The sequence below is a fragment of the Homo sapiens genome, chromosome 4, assembly GCF_000001405.40.
Source record: "Homo sapiens chromosome 4, GRCh38.p14 Primary Assembly".
Classification (NCBI taxonomy): Eukaryota; Metazoa; Chordata; class Mammalia; order Primates; family Hominidae; genus Homo; species Homo sapiens.
The window spans coordinates 178017505-178039398 of NC_000004.12; the positions used below are offsets into that span (position 1 = coordinate 178017505).

General features: G+C 36.0%; 1 long non-coding RNA gene across 2 annotated transcripts in view; it reads right to left on the reverse strand.

The window, feature by feature from the left end:
• The window catches only part of LOC105377561 (uncharacterized), a 30741-nt gene extending 9648 nt beyond the window's left edge, over nt 1–21093 (reverse strand). The window contains exons 1-2 of one of the 2 annotated variants that reach the window (XR_939512.1): nt 20889–21093; nt 3833–3999 (exon numbers count right to left, since the gene is read on the reverse strand). This is a non-coding gene — a long non-coding RNA (uncharacterized LOC105377561). Of the gene's footprint in view, nt 1–3832; nt 4000–11805; nt 11971–20888 lie in introns of those variants that run through there. The other variant, XR_002959839.1, reaches the window with a different exon arrangement.
• Nucleotides 21094–21894: the final 801 nt, after the last annotated feature.

The following is a 21894-nucleotide window of genomic DNA, read 5'->3' on the forward strand; positions in this document are numbered from 1 at the left end:
AAGGATACCCAGGAATTGAACTCAGATCTGCACCAAGCGGACCTAATAGACATCTACAGAACTCTCCACCCCAAATCAACAGAATATACATTTTTTTCAGCACCACACCACACCTATTCCAAAATTGACCACACACTGGGAAGTAAAGCTCTCCTCAGCAAATGTAAAAGAACAGAAATTATAACAAACTATCTCTCAGACCACAGTGCAATCAAACTAGAACTCAGGATTAAGAATCTCACTCAAAACCACTCAACTACATGGAAACTGAACAACCTGCTCCTGAATGACTACTGGGTACATAACGAAACGAAGGCAGAAATAAAGATGTTCTTTGAAACCAACGAGAACAAAGACACAACATACCAGAATCTCTGGAACGCATTCAAAGCAGTGTGTAGAGGGAAATTTATAGCACTAAATGCCCACAAGAGAAAGCAGGAAAGATCCAGAATTGACACCCTAACATCACAATTAAAAGAACTAGAAAAGCAAGAGCAAACACATTCAAAAGCTAGCAGAAGGCAAGAAATAACTAAAATCAGAGCAGAACTGAAGGAAATAGAGACACAAAAAACCCTTCAAAAAATTAATGAATCCAGGAGCTGGTTTTTTGAAAGGATCAACAGAATTGATAGACCGCTAGCAAGACTAATAAAGAAAAAAAGAGAGAAGAATCAAATAGACGCAATAAAAAATGATAAAGGGGATATCACCACCGATCCCACAGAAATACAAACTACCATCAGGGAATACTACAAACACCTCTACGCAAATAAACTAGAAAATCTAGAAGAAATGGATAAATTCCTGGACACATACACTCTCCCAAGACTAAACCAGGAAGAAGTTGAATCTCTGAATAGACCAATAACAGGATCTGAAATTGTGGCAATAATCAATAGCTTACCAATCAAAAAGAGTGCAGGACCAGATGGATTCACAGCCGAATTCTACCAGAGGTACAAGGAGGAACTGATACCATTCCTTCTGAAACTATTCCAATCAATAGAAAAAGAGGGAATCCTCCCTAAGTCATTTTATGAGGCCAGCATCGTACTGATACCAAAGCCAGGCAGAGACACAACCAAAAAAGAGAATTTTAGACCAATATCCTTGATGAACATTGATGCAAAAATCCTCAGTAAAATACTGGCAAACCGAATCCAGCAGCACTTCAAAAAGGTTATCCACCATGATCAAGTGGCTTCATCCCTGGGATGCAAGGCTGGTTCAATATACGCAAATCAATAAATGTAATCCAGCATATAAACAGAGCCAAAGACAAAAACCACATGATTATCTCAATAGATGCAGAAAAAGCCTTTGACAAAATTCAACAACCCTTCATGCTAAAAACTCTCAATCAATTAGGTATTGATGGGATGTATTTCAAAATAATAAGAGCTATCTATGACAAACCCACAGCCAATATCATACTGAATGGGCAAAAACTGGAAGCATTCCCTTTGAAAACTGGCACAAGACAAGGATGCCCTCTCTCACCACTCCTATTCAACATACTGTTGGAAGTTCTGGCCAGGGCAATTAGGCAGGAGAAGGAAATAAAGGGTACTCAATTAGGAAAAGAGGAAGTCAAATTGTCCCTGTTTGCAGACGACATGACTGTATATCTAGAAAACCCCATTGTCTCAGCCCAAAATCTCCTTAAGCTGATAAGCAACTTCAGCAAAGTCTCAGGATACAAAATCAATGTACAAAAATCACAAGCATTCTTATACACCAATAACAGACAAACAGAGAGCCAAATCATGAGTGAACTCCCATTCACAATTGCTTCAAAGAGAATAAAATACCTAGGAATCCAATTACAAGGGATGTGAAGGACCTCTTCAAGGAGAACTACAAACCACTGCTCAAGGAAATAAAAGAGGATACAAACCAATGGAAGAACATTCCATGCTCATGGGTAGGAAGAATCAATATCGTGAAAATGGCCATACTGCCCAAAGTAATTTATAGATTCAATGCCATCCCCATCAAGCTACCAATGACTTTCTTCACAGAATTGGAAAAGACTACTTTAAAGTTCATATGGAACCAAAAAAGAGCCTGCATCGCCAAGTCAATCCTAAGCCAAAAGAACAAAGCTGGAGGCATCACACTACCTGACTTCAAACTATACTACAAGGCTACAGTAACCAAAACAGCATGGTACTGGTACCAAAACAGAGATATAGATCAATGGAACAGAACAGAGCCCTCAGAAATAATGCCACATATCTACAACTATCTGATCTTTGACAAACCTGAGAAAAACAAGCAATGGGGAAAGGATTCCCTATTTAATAAATGGTGCTGGGAAAACTGGCTAGCCATATGTAGAAAGCTGAAACTGGATCCCTTCCTCACACCTTATACAAAAATCAATTCAAGATGGATTAAAGACTTAAATGTTAGACCTAAAACCATAAAAACCTTAGAAGAAAACCTAGGCATTACCATTCAGGACATAGGCATGGGCAAGGACTTCATGTCTAAAACACCAAAAGCAATGGCAACAAAAGCCAAAATTGACAAATGGGATCTCATTAAACTAAAGAGCTTCTGCACAGCAAAAGAAACTACCATCAGAGTGAACAGGCAACCTACAAAATGGGAGAAAATTTTCACAACCTACTCATCTGACAAAGGGCTAATATCCAGAATCTACAATGAACTCAAACAAATGTACAAGGAAAAAACAAACAACCCCATCAAAAAGTGGGCGAAGGACATGAACAGACACTTCTCAAAAGAAGACATTTATGCAGCCAAAAAACACATGAAAAAATGCTCATCATCACTGGCCATCAGAGAAATGCAAATCAAAACCACAATGAGATACCATCTCACACCAGTTAGAATGGCAATCATTAAAAAGTCAGGAAACAACAGGTGCTGGAGAGGACGTGGAGAAATAGGAATACTTTTACACTGTTGGTGGGACTGTAAACTAGTTCAACCATTGTGGAAGTCATTGTGGCAACTCCTCAGGGATCTAGAACTGGAAATACCATTTGACCCAGCCATCCCATTACTGGGTATATACCCAAAGGACTATAAATCATGCTGCTATAAAGACACATGCACACGTATGTTTATTGCAGCATTATTCACAATAGCAAAGACTTGGAACCAACCCAAATGTCCAACAATGATAGACTGGATTAAGAAAATGTGGCACATATACACCATGGAATACTATGCAGCCATAAAAAATGATGAGTTCATGTCCTTTGTAGGGACATGGATGAAATTGGAAATCATCATTCTCAGTAAACTATCACAAGAACAAAAAACCAAACACCGCATATTCTCACTCATAGGTGGGAACTGAACAATGAGGTCACATGGACACAGGAAGGGGAACATCACACTCTGGGGACTGTTGTGGGGTGGTGGGAGGGGGGAGGGATAGCATCGGGAGATATACCTAATGCTAGATGACGAGTTAGTGGGTGCAGCGCACCAGCATGGCACATGTATACATATGTAACTAACCTGCACAATGTGCACATGTACCCTAAAACTTAAAGTATAATAATAAAAAAAAGAATATAAATTTTTATGATTTTAAGATAGTGCTATATAAATTATCTGTAAAATATACTACAAACATAGTGGCTTTAAAAAAAAAAAGACACATCTTTATTCTCTCACCTATTTCTATTGAACAAACATCTCAGCATGATTTATCTCATTCTTCCACTCAGGGTCTAAGAAGGGTGCCTTCTGGAATCAGCCAGGCCACATTTTTATCTGGAGGCTTACCTGGAGAAGAATCCACTTGCAAGCTTGGTCAGGTTGTTGGCAAAATTTATTTCCTTACCTCGGTAGTAGGACTGAGAGCTCTAGATTTTTCCTGACTGTCACCTGGAAGCTACACTCAGCTCCTGGAGGCTATGCACAGTTCCTCCACGTGTGTTCCTCTCCACGAGCAGTGAGCAATGTGGTGGCTTGCTTCTTCAGAGCCAGCTGGAGAGCACAATGGTGAATCTGCTAGAAAGATAGTATATCATATAAAGTCCTATAATGATGGGAGTGACATCTCAGCACTTTACCATATTTTAGTGGTTAGAAGCAAATTCTATCTTTCCCACACTAAAGCGAAGGGATTATAAAAATGCATAAGCACCAATGGGTTGGAAAAATGAGAGCATCTCAGATTTTGTTTGCCACAGGATCCTATCATTAACGTGGCTCTTCTAAATACATAGTTTCAAAAATAAACTTGAGTCTATTAAGAAAAGGAAAAGTAAGTCAAATCAGAGATTTATTCATTATATAAATAATATATCCATCTTCAAAAATGTGTTTCAAGTTTTGTATATGTGTGTAGAAATGTTTCAGAGAAAGTTTAGAATTCTATTTCTTTATGAAATTTTAATTGTTAACTTCAACATTTAATCTTTGTGTGTGTCTTCGCTAAAGATAAAAAAGAATCATTTAGTTTAAAACCTGATTATTTACTCAGAATTGCATTTTTCCTCAATACTGTATACTACTGGTATTTAAAACTCCAGTTAAAGTTTCCAGAGAAGAAATCTTAATAATGAGAGAATACTTGATTCAACATCTATAATAACTTTCAATTCACCATTTAAAATATTTTTAGTCTTAGGGCTTTTGTTTTTGTTTGACAGGTATTTTTATTCTACTTTCTCTTGACTGTTATTGCTGATTCTTCTCCACCCTAAGGACATTTACACTTCATCACAAGAAGCTAGATGGAACATTCTGAACTGCTTATTCCTTTAGCATATTTGACACTTACTTTGACTTGGGTACAAAGTTAGAAATTTGCATTTGGTTTCCTTTATGATGTTAGAAAGTTTAAAATGCATAAAATAACATGAAACTGTTGCTTATTTTTGTGTAACTCATAAAATATATTTGATAGATTAATTTTTGAAACGTACATATGTAATCTATTAAGATATAATAACATAAATATAAATCAGGTACTTAAATACGCTAATAATTTAAAGCAATGAGGTATTGATCATTTTATACTGAATTTCTTTGTGAACATGCTGTGCCTTTGGACACTCAGATTAAAGCAGAGTGGATATATGAAAATTAGTAACAGATAGCTTTCCCCCTTTCCATATTTGATTCTAATAATTCATAATTAACATAATGTTTACTTAAAACAGAGTAAAAGAATGTTTCTTTCTTCGTAGCATAGGTGACCACTATAGGTAAACAAATTGTCTAAATGAAATTGGCGGAAAGTATTAAGAGTACATCCAAGAGTTGTTTCCTTGGATGACTAGATTCGATGGAATTGGCCAATGGATTCTTCCTTAACCATACGCTTATTGCACGCACTGAGGTTCTGATATTAATTCAAGTTTTGATCAGACTACCCAAATTTTTATGAACCACAACTTTAATTCAAAACTTGAATACTAGAGCACTTGTTATTCAGCTAATAAATATTTTATAATAGTTTATTTTGAATATTTTTTTCTGGAATTTTGGGGGATACATTAGGAAAAAAGTTGAAAGAAATGTTGAAAGACAAAAGTTGAAAGAAAATGCTGATCTATGTGGTATTAAAATTAAAATTCACTTTCTGAACCCTGCTTCAAAATGTGTAACCAACTGAGAGCTCCTTTTGAAATCATTCCGGTCTTCAGGCAGATCCCAAACTCAGCTATTTCAAGAAAGTTACTTGCCTAGAGTAACATTTTTTTTTTCCTTTTAGTCAACACTGGAGAGTTCTCTCTTACCACTTCTGAAATTCTTTAATTTTTTATTATAAATGAGACATAGATGATGTGAGCCTTTGATTTATGAAACATTTCCAGTCACTGTCTTATCATATGCCATGTAATAATTATAGATATATTATTAGCATTGATATAAATATAAGCAAAAAGCAATCACAGAATATAGAAGTAAAGTGCACAGGCTTTTGAGTCAAACTGATTTGGTTTCAAAGGCTGTATCTTGGAAGCAGCCTGACCTTGGGTAAGTTACCAGAATCATATTTAACGTACAACATTAATGTGAGGATTAAGTGAAGGAGTGTATGAACAACATTTAGCACAGTGCCTTCCCAAAGTATTCTCTGATCACTACTTTATGATTACTGATACTACTGCTGTTGCTACTATAATTACTATAATATTTCTAATCCCCCTTCTCTAATTATTGCTCTAAAACTACAATCCACATGGTAAACTTGTAGCAATCCTCACATGCCTAAAGGTCACTAATGTGAAGAAATGGCTGCAAACTATCGCAAGGACAAAAAACTAAACACCACACGTTCTCACTCATAGGTGGGAATTGAACAATGAGAACAGTTGGACACAGGAAGGGGAACATCACACACCGGGGCCTGTCACGGGGTGGGGGGAGGGTAAAGGGATAGCATTAGGAGATATACGTAATGTAAACGACGAGTTAATGGGTGCAGCACACCAACATGGCGCATGTATACAGATGTAACAAACCTGCACGTTGTGCACAGGTACCATAGGACTTAAAGTATAATAATAATAATAAAAAAACAATCAGACAGGACTTTCCCTTTAGGTAAAGGTGGACTAAAAAAACTGCTGGACTGACCCACACACACCTATATACTCTATAATTATTAATTTAAAAAGCAAATACTTGAAGGCACTGGAGAATGGACAAAAGGCATAGATTTTGGTAGGACATTCACACGCAGAGGAGGGCATAACAGAGTGATTGCACCCATTTTTGCTATGTTTAGACTAAAGGCAGGAACAGTTAGCACCAAATAGTGAATATCAGTGGAAAACTCAGTATTGTTGGCCTGAGAAACCAAGAAATTGAATGTCAGGCAACTACGACCACTGAACAGAAAAGGCAAAGTCCAGGCAACTAAAGAGCCAGACAAGTGATACCTAAATTACAACATCTTGCATACCTGGCTGACGACTCAACCATTCACTTACAGACCAGAATGAATGCATTCAGCTAAAATTAAACGATCAAAACTAAAATCATGAGTGGCTACCCAAAAAAGAGGCACATTTTGCATCCAAACAACCTGTTTGCTAGAACAAAAGAAATGACACATCAGAAAGTTAATGAGTAAATGCATATTCTCCACAATGTAACATGAATAATGTCCGTGATACACTGCAACAATGATCTAATATGCAAATAATTTATAATGTGGGATCCATTTTCAATATTAAAAAATTAACTGAGACCAAACCCCTGAGATAAACCAGATAACATTAGCACATGAGGATTTTAAAACTGCTAAAAAGAAGATTCTCAATGTAAAAAAAAAAAAAGTTTCCAAAGATCAAAAATATAGGAAACATTAATGGAGCGATAGAAACAATAAAAATTAACAAATGGAAATTACAGAGATAAAAATAAACAATAACTGAAAATTTAAACATATAACTGTTACCTCAAGGAATGGTGATAAAGGAGGCAGTGAACTGGAAGATACAGCAATTAAAACTATTACTTAGAAAACAATTTAATAAGTGAATAGAGGCCCAGATAACCATCAGATAATATCAAATAGTTTAATACACACATGATTTGATTTCTGGATGGAGAGTTTTATGGAATTTTGTCCCTTCAAAACCTGTATGCTGAAGTCCTAACTCCTAGTACCTCAGAATGTGACCTTATTTGGAGATAGTATTGTTGCAGATGTAATTAGTTAAGAAGAGGTAATGTGAAAATAGGATGAACTCTTAATTCCATATGTCTGGTGTCTTATCAGAAGGGGAAATTTGGATACTCACATCCATAAAGGGAGATTGTTCATGAAGATAAAGGCTGAGATCATGATGATGCTTCTACTATTCAAGGAATGTCAAAGATTAACAGAAACCACCAAAAGCTAAGGTAGTGGCATTGAACAGATTCTTCATCAGAGTCTTGAGAAGAAACCAGTTCTGCTCATCTCATGATTATAGATTTCTAGCCTTCAAAACTATGAGAAACTAAATTTCTGTTATTTATGATCCTCATATCTTTTTGTGATACTTTATTATGGCAGCCTAGCAAATGCATACAGACAGAAAAGAGAAAATGAGGGCAAAAATATTTGAAAACCTAAAGGCCTATTTAAAAAAAAAATAATGAGAGATGTGAAGTTACTGATTTCTACCATGATATAAAACATGAGGATGAGGATAAGTTCACTTTTCTGATTTAAAACTTTCTACATTTTATGAAAAGTAGCATAGAATAAACTCAGAACTAAGGAATCACTTGAACAATTGCTAAATAACAAAATAAAAATGTTTAGATGAACATTAAAATGTGTCAATAAATAAGAGGAAACATCAGATAGAATAACATATACTAACATGCTACCATAATAATTGTTACATGAAGCTATAATAGACTCTCATAAAAAGCCACCGATTATCATAATGGATAAAAAGAAGACATGTCTTAAGTACAATGAAAGACAGAAGTTGAAAACAAATGTCTCAGAAATATATGCTATGCAAACAAAGAAATCTTAAGAAGTGTAGTACAACTTTTGCTAAATAGATTTTAGTATAAAAATAATTATCACCTTAAGAAAAGTGGGACATTTCCTAGTGAAAAAAATTGTCAATTCACCTTAAAACTGCATCAATTGTAAATGTGTATGTGACCTAATAAGAGAGCTTCAAAATACATGTAGAAAAATGGACACAATTAAAGGACAAATTATACAAGCCCACAAAATACCTGAACATCTTAACACCCCTGTTTTGGAAATTCATATAACAACTCGATTTAAAATATCAGTGAAAACATGTAACCGCTGAACAGCATTATTAATCATGTGACCTATTTAATATTTTGGGGCACTCCACAGGCACACATTCTTTTCAAGTGGATGGCATATATTAACTATGATAGACAATACGCTGAGACAGAAGTGTCAACAAAACAAGATGCGTTACAATTCTCTACCATAATTACAATGAAAAATAATAAAGCAAGCGTATCAAAAATTTTCAAAATACTTTGAAATTAAACAAAAATGATCCCAATAATTCATGGGTCAACAAAAAAATCGAGCAAATGAGAATACATTTTGAATTAAATGGAAATGTCAACACAACAAATTAAAAGATATTGGAGAAAACTAAACCTAGTTCTTAAAGATGTTCTATGATTTTAAATGAATATGTTAGGAAAGATAAAATATCGTAATTCAGTGTTCTAAGTATCTTCCTTAACAAACACAATAAACCAACAAAAAACAAAAGCAAACCAAAAAACCCAAACAATGAAACAGTGAATTATCCAAAACATAAGAAGACACAAAATCCATAAATGGGTCAAAAAGTTTAACAACTACATTACAGAAGAAGATATATGAATGGCCAACAAGCTCAAAATCGCTAGTCATCTGAGAGATTCAAAATAACACTACAATATCCTAACACTATATACCCACTTTAGCTAAAATTAAAAAGGCATCTGTTCGTGAGGATATGGAGTAACTAAAATTCTCATACTTTGCTTGCGGGAATGCAAAATTGTACAGTCATTTTGGAAAACAGATTAGCAGTCACCTGTAAAATTCAAGCTAAAATTCCTTATGACCTAACGAGTCCAGTTTTAGAGATTTACTCAAGAGTAATGAAAATACATATCTATAAAAAGCCCTGTATAAAAAAGTTGCTAACAGTGTTATTCATAGTAGCCAGAAATTGGAAAGAATCCAAATGTCCATCAACAGATGAATGCCTAACGGAATGTTGAGATAAGCATAATATGGACTTCACACACAATTAAAAGAAGCAAACAACTGACACGTGTAACAGTCTGGGTCAACTGCAACACATCATGCTAAGTGAAAGAATTCAGGTAACACATACTACACATGATTTTATTTAGATGACATTCTGGAAAAAGCAAATGACATCAAAACAGATCGATTACAGCTAGGGTTCTGGGAAAGGGGCTTGAGGGAAATACTCAAGATACTGGTAAAATTCTATATCTTCATTGTGGTCATTGTTACATGAACACATACAACACCTCAACACTTCTCAAATCGTTCATTTAAAATAAATGACGTTTTTTGGATGTAACATATACCTCAATAAAGCTGTCAAAAAACAGAGCAGAAGAAAAAACCAACCAACCAACCAAGCAAATTGTAGATTTAGTAAAAGAGCCAGTTTATATATTAAATTAGCCACTAATTGTGCCTGGTTTTTAATAAGATGTGTCATGTCAATAAAAAAGAAAAATAAAACATTTGGCACTTGTTTTTAAATGACCTTTCAAGAGAGATAAAGAGGGCTAAGAATAGGCTTTAATTTTCAAGCATTTTATGCTATAACATAATAAATAAATAAACATGGTGGCAGCAGGGGTGTAGTGGTTAGAAGCACAGACTCTGGTTATGCAGCAGGTTCTCATTTTGCTGTCATGTCGATGAGAGAAAAACATCACTCTCCAGGAGCTACTGTCTGTCTGGAGTCTGCATGTTCTCCCTGCATCTGTGTGGGTTTTCTCTGGGGACTATGAGTTCCTCCCATGTCCCAAAGCTGTGTCCGTTAGTGAACTAGCAAGTCTCCAGGATCCCCGTGTGAGTGAGTTAGGGTGTGTGTGAGCCACTCTGCCATGCTTTGGCATCCTGGCAGTGTGGGTCCTGTCTGGTTCCTTAAGGGCTCTAGCCACCTGTGACCCTGAACTGGAGTAAGCAGGTAAATACTTATTTTACATGTTTTATCTTTCTTAAATGTATGTATAGCTCACATTTATTTTAATGTTTATTATGACAACTATTTTAGGTCATTATTTAGATATTTGGTGATATTTTTGTGACCACAAATATGCCCTGGAAATTTAACTCTGGTTGATGTCAATTAGCCTAAAGAAAAATTGGTTTCTTATAGTTGTTTTGCTTTTAGTTGCAGTTTCCAATAACCTATTATATAGAGCACCTTTGAGATAAGTAACTATAATACATCTTGAAAAAAGACTCCATCTTACATTTCTACAGGCATCATGTCAACAGGGACAAGATGGTTCACCTAATCAATAAAGACTACATCCAGCCAGATAAGGACACAACCAGGTATACTCTTCCACTAACAGTCCTTACCAGAGGACTCTGTGACCTTAAAAAGAGCAGGACGCCACCAATTCAAAACCACTGTGTTAACAGACACCATATTGCTGTCACTTGTGATAAGCACCTAGTATCTGCTGCTGAAGGCTCTGCCTACATCACAGACTCTTGATGGACAGATGGATGACCCAGACCCAGGACAGGATACTCTTTTTGTCCACGTCTCTCCCTGGACTGGTTAAATTAACTCTTTTTCTGTCCCCTTTTACTTAATGTTAAATGTTACTTTGTTTGTTGTGATATGTTTAGTCTATGACATTTACAAATTGATTAAGTATACTATTTATTTATGGTTTGCAATGTTGACCGACTTGTGGAGTGGCTTGAGCCTGTGGCTGTGACTACTGAGTGAACAGGACGGATTAAGGAGAATTGCTCCCTTGGTAACTCCATGGAACTTGTAGCTTTCATGATTTAAATAGGATTAATAAAGCCTGACCATTGTGGAAAGACAAAAACATGCATGGGCCTAGTTATCTCTGACCTTCTGTCACTCACAATAATTGGCATAGTCAGTGCTTTTGCTCCACAGACACATTTTCAAAACTAAAATCAATTGGCATTTATAATCACATGACTATAAAAGCTAAATTAAGAAAATTCCTAAGGCCAAAGCCTCTACTAAGACTTAAATTAGAAACCAAGCTGTTTTGCAAAACAACCTGCCACTCTCTCTAAAAAGGTACATAATCTTGCTTCACCTTGAAAGCCCGGCTCCTTAGGGAAATCTTAGGTGATAGGATTTCTGTACCCATGCCATGTAGACTGAAGGCTGACAAGGTCTTGGTTGGTGCCAAGCTAGAAGCTGGTGGAGCCAGAAAGGCTCATACTGAGCAGGGTCTCAACAATGAGATGGTGGTTGTCAAAACAAACTTGTCATTTGGCTGAAAGAAAGGAAAGTGAATTATCGCATAACCTCCACTCATATGGTTGGTTAAGGTGAGAAACTGAAATATTTATATATTAAGAAACTAAACAGAGTAGCCACTAATATTGCATAATGTGTCGGCCCTAGGAAAGAATGGTCATAGAGGGCTCACTGTCCAAATACGTTACTTAGTGTTGAGGCACCCAACAGAGTTGGAAGTCAAAAAAGGCTTCCTGTATGATGAATGCCACGAGGATATACTGTCATACTTGAGGGACCCCTAAAATATTAAGCCCGTAATTACCAGAGTCCCTAGAGAAGAAATTTCCGTACTTGTAATGCAAAGTATCTAATAGATACACAGGGATCCCAAGAAAGGCAAATAGATAGCTCATAAGATTTTAAGGAAAATTCCTTTCAGATGTAACTTTAAGGGAGGACCCTTGGGACCAAATGGGGACCTGGGTCCCATTTCAGAGAATTTAGTAGATTATGATGACCCTGCAGTGGAGGTATATGTGTCAAGACCTATAGTAACTAGAAAACAGTTATAGATTATAATCACGGAAATGGCAGACCTCAGGACATCAGTGAGGAAGCAGAATACGCCAGAGCAGAATTACAAAAAATAAGAACAGATTTTTGCTAAAGACAGACCACAGATGTAGACTGGCTCCTCCATCTATGGGATTATGGAGCAAACATCACAGAACTATCAGGCACAAAAATGCATCAGATCCCTACATTAGCAGAAAACACATTACTAAATGATCGCCTATTAGAACTAAAAAACTACCCAAGAAGCATCCTATCTCTCTGGGATTAAATCAATTAGCCTGGAAATCTGCCCACTCATATTTAGACCCAACAAAATTAGGAGACAGATTCAAGTGGAATGATCTAACACAGGCACAAAAGAATACAAAAAAAAAGTCAGCTATCCTAGGGATGGTATACGATAGATATAACCAATATGCGACTCCACTTGAAATTCCAGCTACAAATGAAATTAAAAGAGCACTTCTATTAGGAGCACCACCAAACCTGAAGGTCTCCTACATGAATGCTCTCTCAAGCACACATGACCCTGCAAGATATATTATACTAGAAACTTTTAAACTTTCTGCAGAGTTAGGAACCCATAAGGTAATATTTATGACAATCCTGATATAAACACCAAAAGATAAATTCAGGAAGTCACCATTTTTTATATATATATATATATATATATATATATATATATATATACACACACACACACACACACACATATATACACATATATATACACACATATATATACACATATACACACACACACATATATATAGTATACATATATACATATACGTATACATATATACATACACGTATACATATATACATACACGTATACGTATATACATACACGTATATATATACATATATGTATACATGTATATATACAAACAACTCTGGGACTTGTTTGAAAAAATATATATATATACGTATATATATACACACACATATATATACGTGTATATATAGTATATATATATTTTCAAACAAATATATATATTTTCAAACACGTATATATATATATATATATATTTTTTTTTTTTTCAAACAAGTCCCAGAGTTCACTCAAAATGGACGTAAGCCATCTTGGCAAAATAAATCAAGGCAGATGAGTCAGCAACCCAGACAAAACAATTGTCAATCTAAGCAAAATAATTAGCAACCAAGGACAAAAGGACCAAACTGGCAATAAGGCTGTCTAAGGCCACCGGCTAGATACTAAAATATATGGGCAAAGACATTCTTGAGGTCCAGGACCAAACCCACAACTTCAGAAACAATAACAGCAACAATAAAGAAATTTTACAAGAAAATTTTTATCAAAAAACTGGAACCCCCTTGAGTACAAGCTATAACAATCAAATCCAGGGATAACAAACCATATGTGCAATTAGCTATACAAATTGACAAATAGGTATACACATTTCTTTTAGAAACCATATCACAAGTAAGCCTTCTTAGATATAATTCCTGACATTCTGACACAAATGTCCATATAGAAGGACTTGGAGGAAAATTAATTCAAGGTTTCCCAATCTCTGCTTTTATACTTCTCTACAACTCTAAACCTATACCTTGAAATCGGTGGTGGCCTATTAAAAAACTTAAAGGAACTAAAATTCTCTAATCTAGCACAAATTAAAATGAAACCCATAACACTGCCTATACCCTACTGAAAATTAATCATTAAAGGGAGGACATAAAGAAATAACAGCAAAAATCTAGAATTTCTCAAGGAAGATATTAAAATTGGAATTTCAAATAACTTTAATAGTTTAGTATGGCCTGTTCTAAAACCAAATGGGAGCTATCAATTAATGACTGACTATAGAAATCTAAATAAAGTCTCACCTAAAATGCCAAGTATTACCAGATGCAGAAGTCATCAATAAGATCACGATCTATAACGGCAAATACTATGTAATTATAAATCTGTTGGACATTTTCTTTGCATACCAATAGACCAAGCCAAGAATATACCACCTTTACTTGAGGAGGCAAATGAGGAGGCAAACGATATCGATTTAAAAGTTTACATCAGGGATGTCTAAATAGTTCAGGAATAGCTCTTCTTTTTTTTTTTTTTTTTTTTTTTTTTTTTTGAGAGGGAGTCTCGCTCTGTCACCCCGGCTGGAGTGCAGTGGCATGATCGCGGCTCACTGCAACCTCCGCCTCCTGGGTTCAAGCGATTCTCACGCCTCAGCCTCCCAAGTAGTTGGGACTACAGGCTTGTGCCTGGCTAATTTTTTGTATTTTTAGTAGAGACAGTGTTTCACTGTGTTAGCCAGCATGCTCTCGATCTCTTGATCTCGTGATCCACCTGCCTTGGCCTCCCAAAGAGCTGGGATTACAGGCATGAGCCACCACACCTGGCCAGCTCTTCCATTTTATTATCACACATAGACCAGTCCAAATATACATCTCAAATAGTATCATACATAGATGACATTATAATGATAAACAAGAACCAGGAAAAACTTTTCTAAAAACCTCCCTTAATAACACGCTTAAGATCACTGGGATGAACTATTAATATAGATAAAACCACAGGCCCAGACACCAGCTGTAAATTTTCATGAGTACAATGTTCACGAGAAGGGAGAAAAATCCCGACCACAGTGATAGATAAAAGAAAAGCCCTTAAAGCATCAAAAAACAGGAAGGACAAAGACTAATAGGTTTATCCGGATATTGGAGACAACATATGCCTTACTTAAACATCATCCTGAAACCAATAGATAACATAACTAGAGAATTCCAAGACTTCACATTTGGACAAGAACAAAAACTAGCACTTGAAATACTCAAAGGTACATCACTATGTCCCAGATAGTGCATTATCCATCTCCAGATTCACAAATTAGGTTGCAAATTCTAATGAGTGATAAATATGGAACATGGTCAATATGGACAGAAAAACCAGATACTAAATCCATCCTACTTGTCGAATTTTGGACAATAAAATTTCCATACTCTAATAACAAATACATCCCATTTGAAAAACACATGTGGCTTACACAGGAAGCCTCGAAAATACTGAGCCTCTGACTGGCAACAGCATTACAATAAGATGCCATAAGCCTTGTCTTCACTGGATAAAATTGAGTTCTGAAGAACTGACAGGTATCCAAATTGATCTAAAGCTGCTCACATGGTAATGGTACATCCAGGCTTTAAGGGTCAACCAGGCCTCCTCACCAAGGACATTCACAAGACTGAAATAGACTCGCCGGAATTTATTCTGAGGACAAGAACAATCCATGCCAATCCAGGTAGATGGGCCCAGTCTGGTCTAATGTCTAGAATAATACCTTGTTTATAGATGGATCAGCTGCCACGACCCAAGGCCAGACCCAACAGACAGCAGCAGCACTCAGACCCAAGGACCAAAAAATCCCGAAGACATCAGGCAAATCACTCTCTGCACAGCATACAGAATTGATTGCAGTTGTTCCACATCAGACACTCAGTATTAGAAAATCAAAAGAAAATTTACATTTTATAGATTCATGGATAGTTGCAAGTGGCATAGCCCTATGGTCATATAAATGGAAACGAAATAATTTCAAAATTAATAGTGAAGACATATGGTACAAATATTACTGGGAGGAGATATCTGAATTATCAAACAGAATTAAGATATTTGTGAAACATGTATCAGCACACCAAAAAGATTATTCAGAGATGACAAAATATAATAGGTAGATGCACTAACAAGGAACATAACCACTGACAAACAAAACATACCCAAATTAAAACTACAGGGAAATTCAGACAACTCATGGAGACATTCATTACCATCTCTACAATTCAGGAGAAAATCAGACAATGAATGGGAGATACTAGAAGTACCCTCAGTAGCTTTAATGAAACAGGGAGATGACTTTAAACAGATACCAGAAGCAGCTTGTAATCAAATACTCCTATAATTACATAAGCAAAAAGAACAATTGGGCATATACTCACTGTACGGGTGGCTATCAGACAGAAATCAAAAGGTGATATGGCACCAAGTTAAAAAGCCTATAGCTAATTGTGAGCAATGTAAAACTACCTAGATGAATATAGAAATACTAAACAAAAAGATACATACAAACCCAATGCCTTTTGCCGACAGAATTTATAGGACCATTAAAGCACCACTACCAATAAAAATATGCAGTAACAATTGTGAATGTATATGTACATGGATTGTCATAGCAATAGTAGGCAGACATCCATCTGACAAATATACCATCTCAGCCTTAGAAAATTGGGTGGCTCACTACAAAACACCTAAAGTAATTGAAAGTGATCAGCGAAATCATTTTGCATCAAGGGCTACAAAAGCATTGACAGATCAGTGAGATATAATACAGTGCAATTTCCACCTACCTATAATCCCATGGCAGGAAATCTAGAGAGACTTAATGAACTATAAAAAGAGGATGAAAAACCTTAGACCAAATGAGTATATTCCAACAAACTCTTAACCTGGTATGTTTTCATTTAAATCAAAAGGACAGACTCCATAAGAGCAACCCTCAGTCTCATCTTAATCAACTGACTTTAATGGTCATAAAAGAAAAGGGAAAATATGATGCAAATATTGTACCTTACAAAGTGAGTACTAGACTAATTTACAAGACTATCCCTCAATAGTGCATTCTGGCCAACAGACACAAAATACATATTGGACTACAGGAAAAAGAGAAGAGTCACAATTACACAAAATCCCTACTAAATCTACTGATTGCTGGATGTCAGCATCTTCCAGAAACCCATTATGGTCCTGGATACCACTGGAGATAAGTATTTTTGATAAAGGACAACAAATAAAATGGGATAGTTAATATTTACAGGTAGTCACAGACCAGATACCTACAATCTGCTGTTATCTAACTCACCACTAGTACTTGGACCATTTACACCCACATACAAAACAACAGAGATTATTAGCACATTCTTTACACAAGATGATCCAAGAAACATGATCATATTAGACAAATTTACCTATAAAACCAAATATGTATGAGATCAAGTTATTTTTCTATTGTGCCCACTGAAATTTTGAAGATGTAGATAGAGACAACATACAGTTTCAATTAATTGACTGGTGGGAAACAGTAGGAACCAAAATAAATGTGGGAAAAGTCACAAAAATAGATGCAGGTATGTCAAATTCCTTTTTCTCTATTATCCAGCCATTCCACGAATCATAGAATATGGTTACATGGTCGGCCCAACACCCTATTTACAAAAATATAACCAGACTAGACTCCCATTTATGTAAATTTATATCTAAAGTCAGCTCTTTTGGAAAAGCTATGTTAAACCTTGGGACACTGAACCATGCATAATTGAGACAGGATGCTGGAATGACATGTGTCACTAAAAGACACACCACTAGAAACCACAGTGGACCAAGGGGACAATAAAACCTCCACCTAAATTACTAAAATCAAATGTATTTGAACCCATGCTAATTAACCCTTAAGATTAATTTACAAATCAACACCTAGGAGAGTCAAAATATTTTTCAAAAACTAAACATTTTTTTTTTTTTTGGAGACAGAGTCTCACTTTGTTGCCCAGGCTGGAGTGCAATGGTGTGATCTCAACTCACTGCAACCTCCTCCTCTTCGGTTCACGCGATTCTCCTGCCTCAGCCTCCCAAGTAGCTGGGATTACAGATGCACACCACCATGCACGGCTAATTTTGTATTTTTAGTAGAGACAGGGTTTCACCATGTTAGCCAGGCTGGTCTTGAACTTCTGACCTCAGGTGATCCAGCTGCCTTGGCCTCCCAAAGTGCTGGGATTACAGGCGTGAGCCACCGTGCCTGGCTGAAAACTAACAATTTAAAGTCACAAATATCTAACCACGATGTCTACAATTTGAGGGACAGGGATATAACATACAGCTCATTTTACCAAACTTACCACCACTAGAAAAATATCATTTAGAAATCTGCTATAAATGTTCGCAACAATTGGATTTCAAACTTAGTCACTGCAGAAACGCAAAAAGCAGAAATTCAGGAAGTTAAAACAGACGTATTTAATTTGAAACATAAACTTAATTCCTACATGTCAACTACCACATCTATACTGTCATCAATTTCACAGGCACTTAATGAAATAAATCAATGATAACTCATACCCATGTTCTTATAGAATATCAAAAGGAATTCAGTTACAATATTGATCACAAGGTAGACATCGAAAAGTCAACATATTTACATTAAGAAACCTTATGCTGAAAAACTAGGGCGAACACAGTGGACTAGATAAGTACTTTAGTAGCTCAGACTTGGAACAATATAAGAAACACAATACAATCGGGAAAATCATTCATAGAAAATTGGGACAAAGCAGCTATATTTCAACTGGATACATCCAAACCATCAGGATGTGACGATTCAGGGCAATGTATATTCAACCTTTGTGAATTAAGAGGAGAAGACTCACTATTGGCATATTGGCACAATGACAAATCCACAGACAAATGAAAGACATAATTTCCAACTAACTTCCTTAGAAAAGCCACTATTTATTGATGGTTATTTTATATAAAGATAATTAATATTCCAACAGTCAAACACTATATACTATATCTTTCAGGACATACTACCTAAACTAGATTACTTACCTATCAGCATTACAAAAATACCCATAATGGCTCTAGTCTTAGGAAACTTCACTTGGATAGTGTGCTCAGAGAAAAATTATAACCTGATTATAACCACACAAGTCGAAAGCACCACAACATACACTTGCAATTAGAATGTGTCAAACTGATGTATGTCATAAACATCACCCTCACAAACACTTCAAAACTTACCACTATATGGAAGAAACAAAAAGTAGAGATTTTTGTTCATCATTGTGGCACTCCAACATAAGAAGAAGCACCTTGGGAAGATACCACACAGACGAAGACAAACAAGAAAACTCAAAGAAACTTGAACAGGCTCATGATAAATTCCATATAGAATTAGCACAATTAAAATGCACTACTGAGACGGTAACACATAGAATAGCAATATTAAACACATAAAATCACATTTGAAAAATACCTAGACGGCTTACACTGAAGATGTACCTTCTTGCAAACGATCAAAAAGACCTTTAGCCACACTTCTTGTAACAGCTCATGGTTAGCTTGAAAACTAATAAATATATTAAAAAACTGGATTCCAGAATTGGTCTAAAATCTTTGAGAACATTTATAGAACTTTGTTATCTTCGTTGCAGTCATCTTCTTTGCCAACTATAAACTGAAAAACTGCATTGCTAGCCTTTGTAAAACAAAGTTTGTAAACAAGCTGCCAAGAGAAAATTAATTACCAAGGCCACTTGTAATTTTTTACTTTTGTAACCCCTTCCTCAAATATTGTTTGCATTGTGATTACTAAAATCATGAGGTGGATTGTTTAGAGCACCCTAGACATAAGTAACTCCAGCTTAGAAGATGACACCATCTTACATTTCAAAACGTATCATACCAACAGGGAAAAGATGGGTCACCGCGTTGATAAAGACTGCATCCAATCAGATAAGGACATCACCAGGCATACTCCTCCGCTATCAGTCCTCACCAGAGGGCTCTGTGGCCACAAAAAGAGCAGGACTTCAGCAGCTTGAACCTCCATCTTAACAGACAATGTCTCACTGTCATTTGTGATAAGCACCCAGCATCTGCTGCTGAAGGCTGTGCCCACATCAAAGACTTTTGACTGATGGACCATCCAGACCAGCACAGGCCATTCATTTTGTCCACGTCTCTCCCTGCACTGATAACCCTTTTTCTTATCCCTTTTCTCTCAATGTTAAATGTTACTTTGTTGTGAAATGTTTCATCTATAACATTTTTATATTAAGTACACTACTACGTATGGTTTGCTATGTTGACTGACTTGTGGAGTGGCTTCAGCCTGTGTGCCTGTGGCTCCGACTGCAGAGTGAAGGGAAGCACGATGGAGAACCGCCCGACTACAGACGGAAGGGGAAGTACGATGGAGAACCGCCCCCTTGGGAGTTCCTTGTAGCTTAGGAGTTTCGTGATTGAAATAGCATCACTAAAAGTCTAACACTGTGGAAAGACATAAAGGTGCATGAACTTCGTTATGTCTGACCTCATGCCACTCATGATACAATGGTTTATATTAGAAGTGTTTAGGGTCATTATTTAGAAGTTTGTGACCGGAAATAGGCCATAAGAATTTAACTCTAGTTTGTTTCAACTAGCCTAAGGGAAAATTGGTTTCATTATAGTCCTTTTGCTGTTTAAAGTCACAGTTTGCAGGAATCTATCTACCTCTTAAGTGATAATTTACTGTATAGACCCTGAGGTCAAATCAAATCTGCGCCACTTACCGTGTGAATTTCGGCGGTTGCATATCCCTCTGTGTTTGAGTTTTCCCATTTTATAAATGCTGGTAAAAATAGGGTTCCTCAATAAGTTTGTTGTGATGATTAAGTAGTTGTCTTAGTCCATTTGGTGTTTGGTGAAAGGTACCACATGCAAGAGAACACAGGAGAGAGGGCAAGAGGAGCCCAACTCACTTTTATAACTAACCTGCTCTCATGAAAACAGTATCATTCACGGGGGCAGAGTCTGCATGACCTCATCACCTCTTAAAGGTCCCACCTCTCAACACTGTTACACTGGGGATTCAGTTTCCAACACATGAACTTTGGGAGAAATACTCAGGTCATAACCTCACTTTTTCCACATAAAGCACTTAGAAGAGCACCTGCTATAGTCTAAGTACACAATAAACACAATTATCATTAGAAATCGTGCATGGCTTGCTGAAAGAACAGTAATGCATGAGGGAAGCACACATTTAATCAATTTAAATCCATTCAATTTTAGTGTGGGCTACTGATTTAGTTAATTGAGGCAAGTAAAGATTCAGGTTTTTCCTCCAGAATTTCATTTTACTCAAAGCCTGAGGAATTCTGTCAGGTGGTTGCGAATGACTTCTTCCATGATTTGGTTAAATCTCTATTTTAAAGTTACTGAATACATTCAAAACCAAGAATATACTTTATAATGAAACTGAAAAAAATGAAATTCAAGAGAAAAGGCATTGTATAAATAATTGAGAATGTTTGTACTGTATTTGAGCATTAATCTTGATATTGCTGTGAATAAATTTGCCCACAGGCAAATATGCTACTTACCAAATAAGCCTTTAATATGTACTTAAAGCAATTATTAATAATATGTTATAATAATACCTTTTGAGTACTTATAATGATGTTAAACACGGGAATTGTGACTGAAGACAGAATTTTAAAAATTAGCTTCTAAAATACCCAAAATAGATCCTTTATATTCACAGTCATATAAAAGGCAAAATGATTATAAATGGCA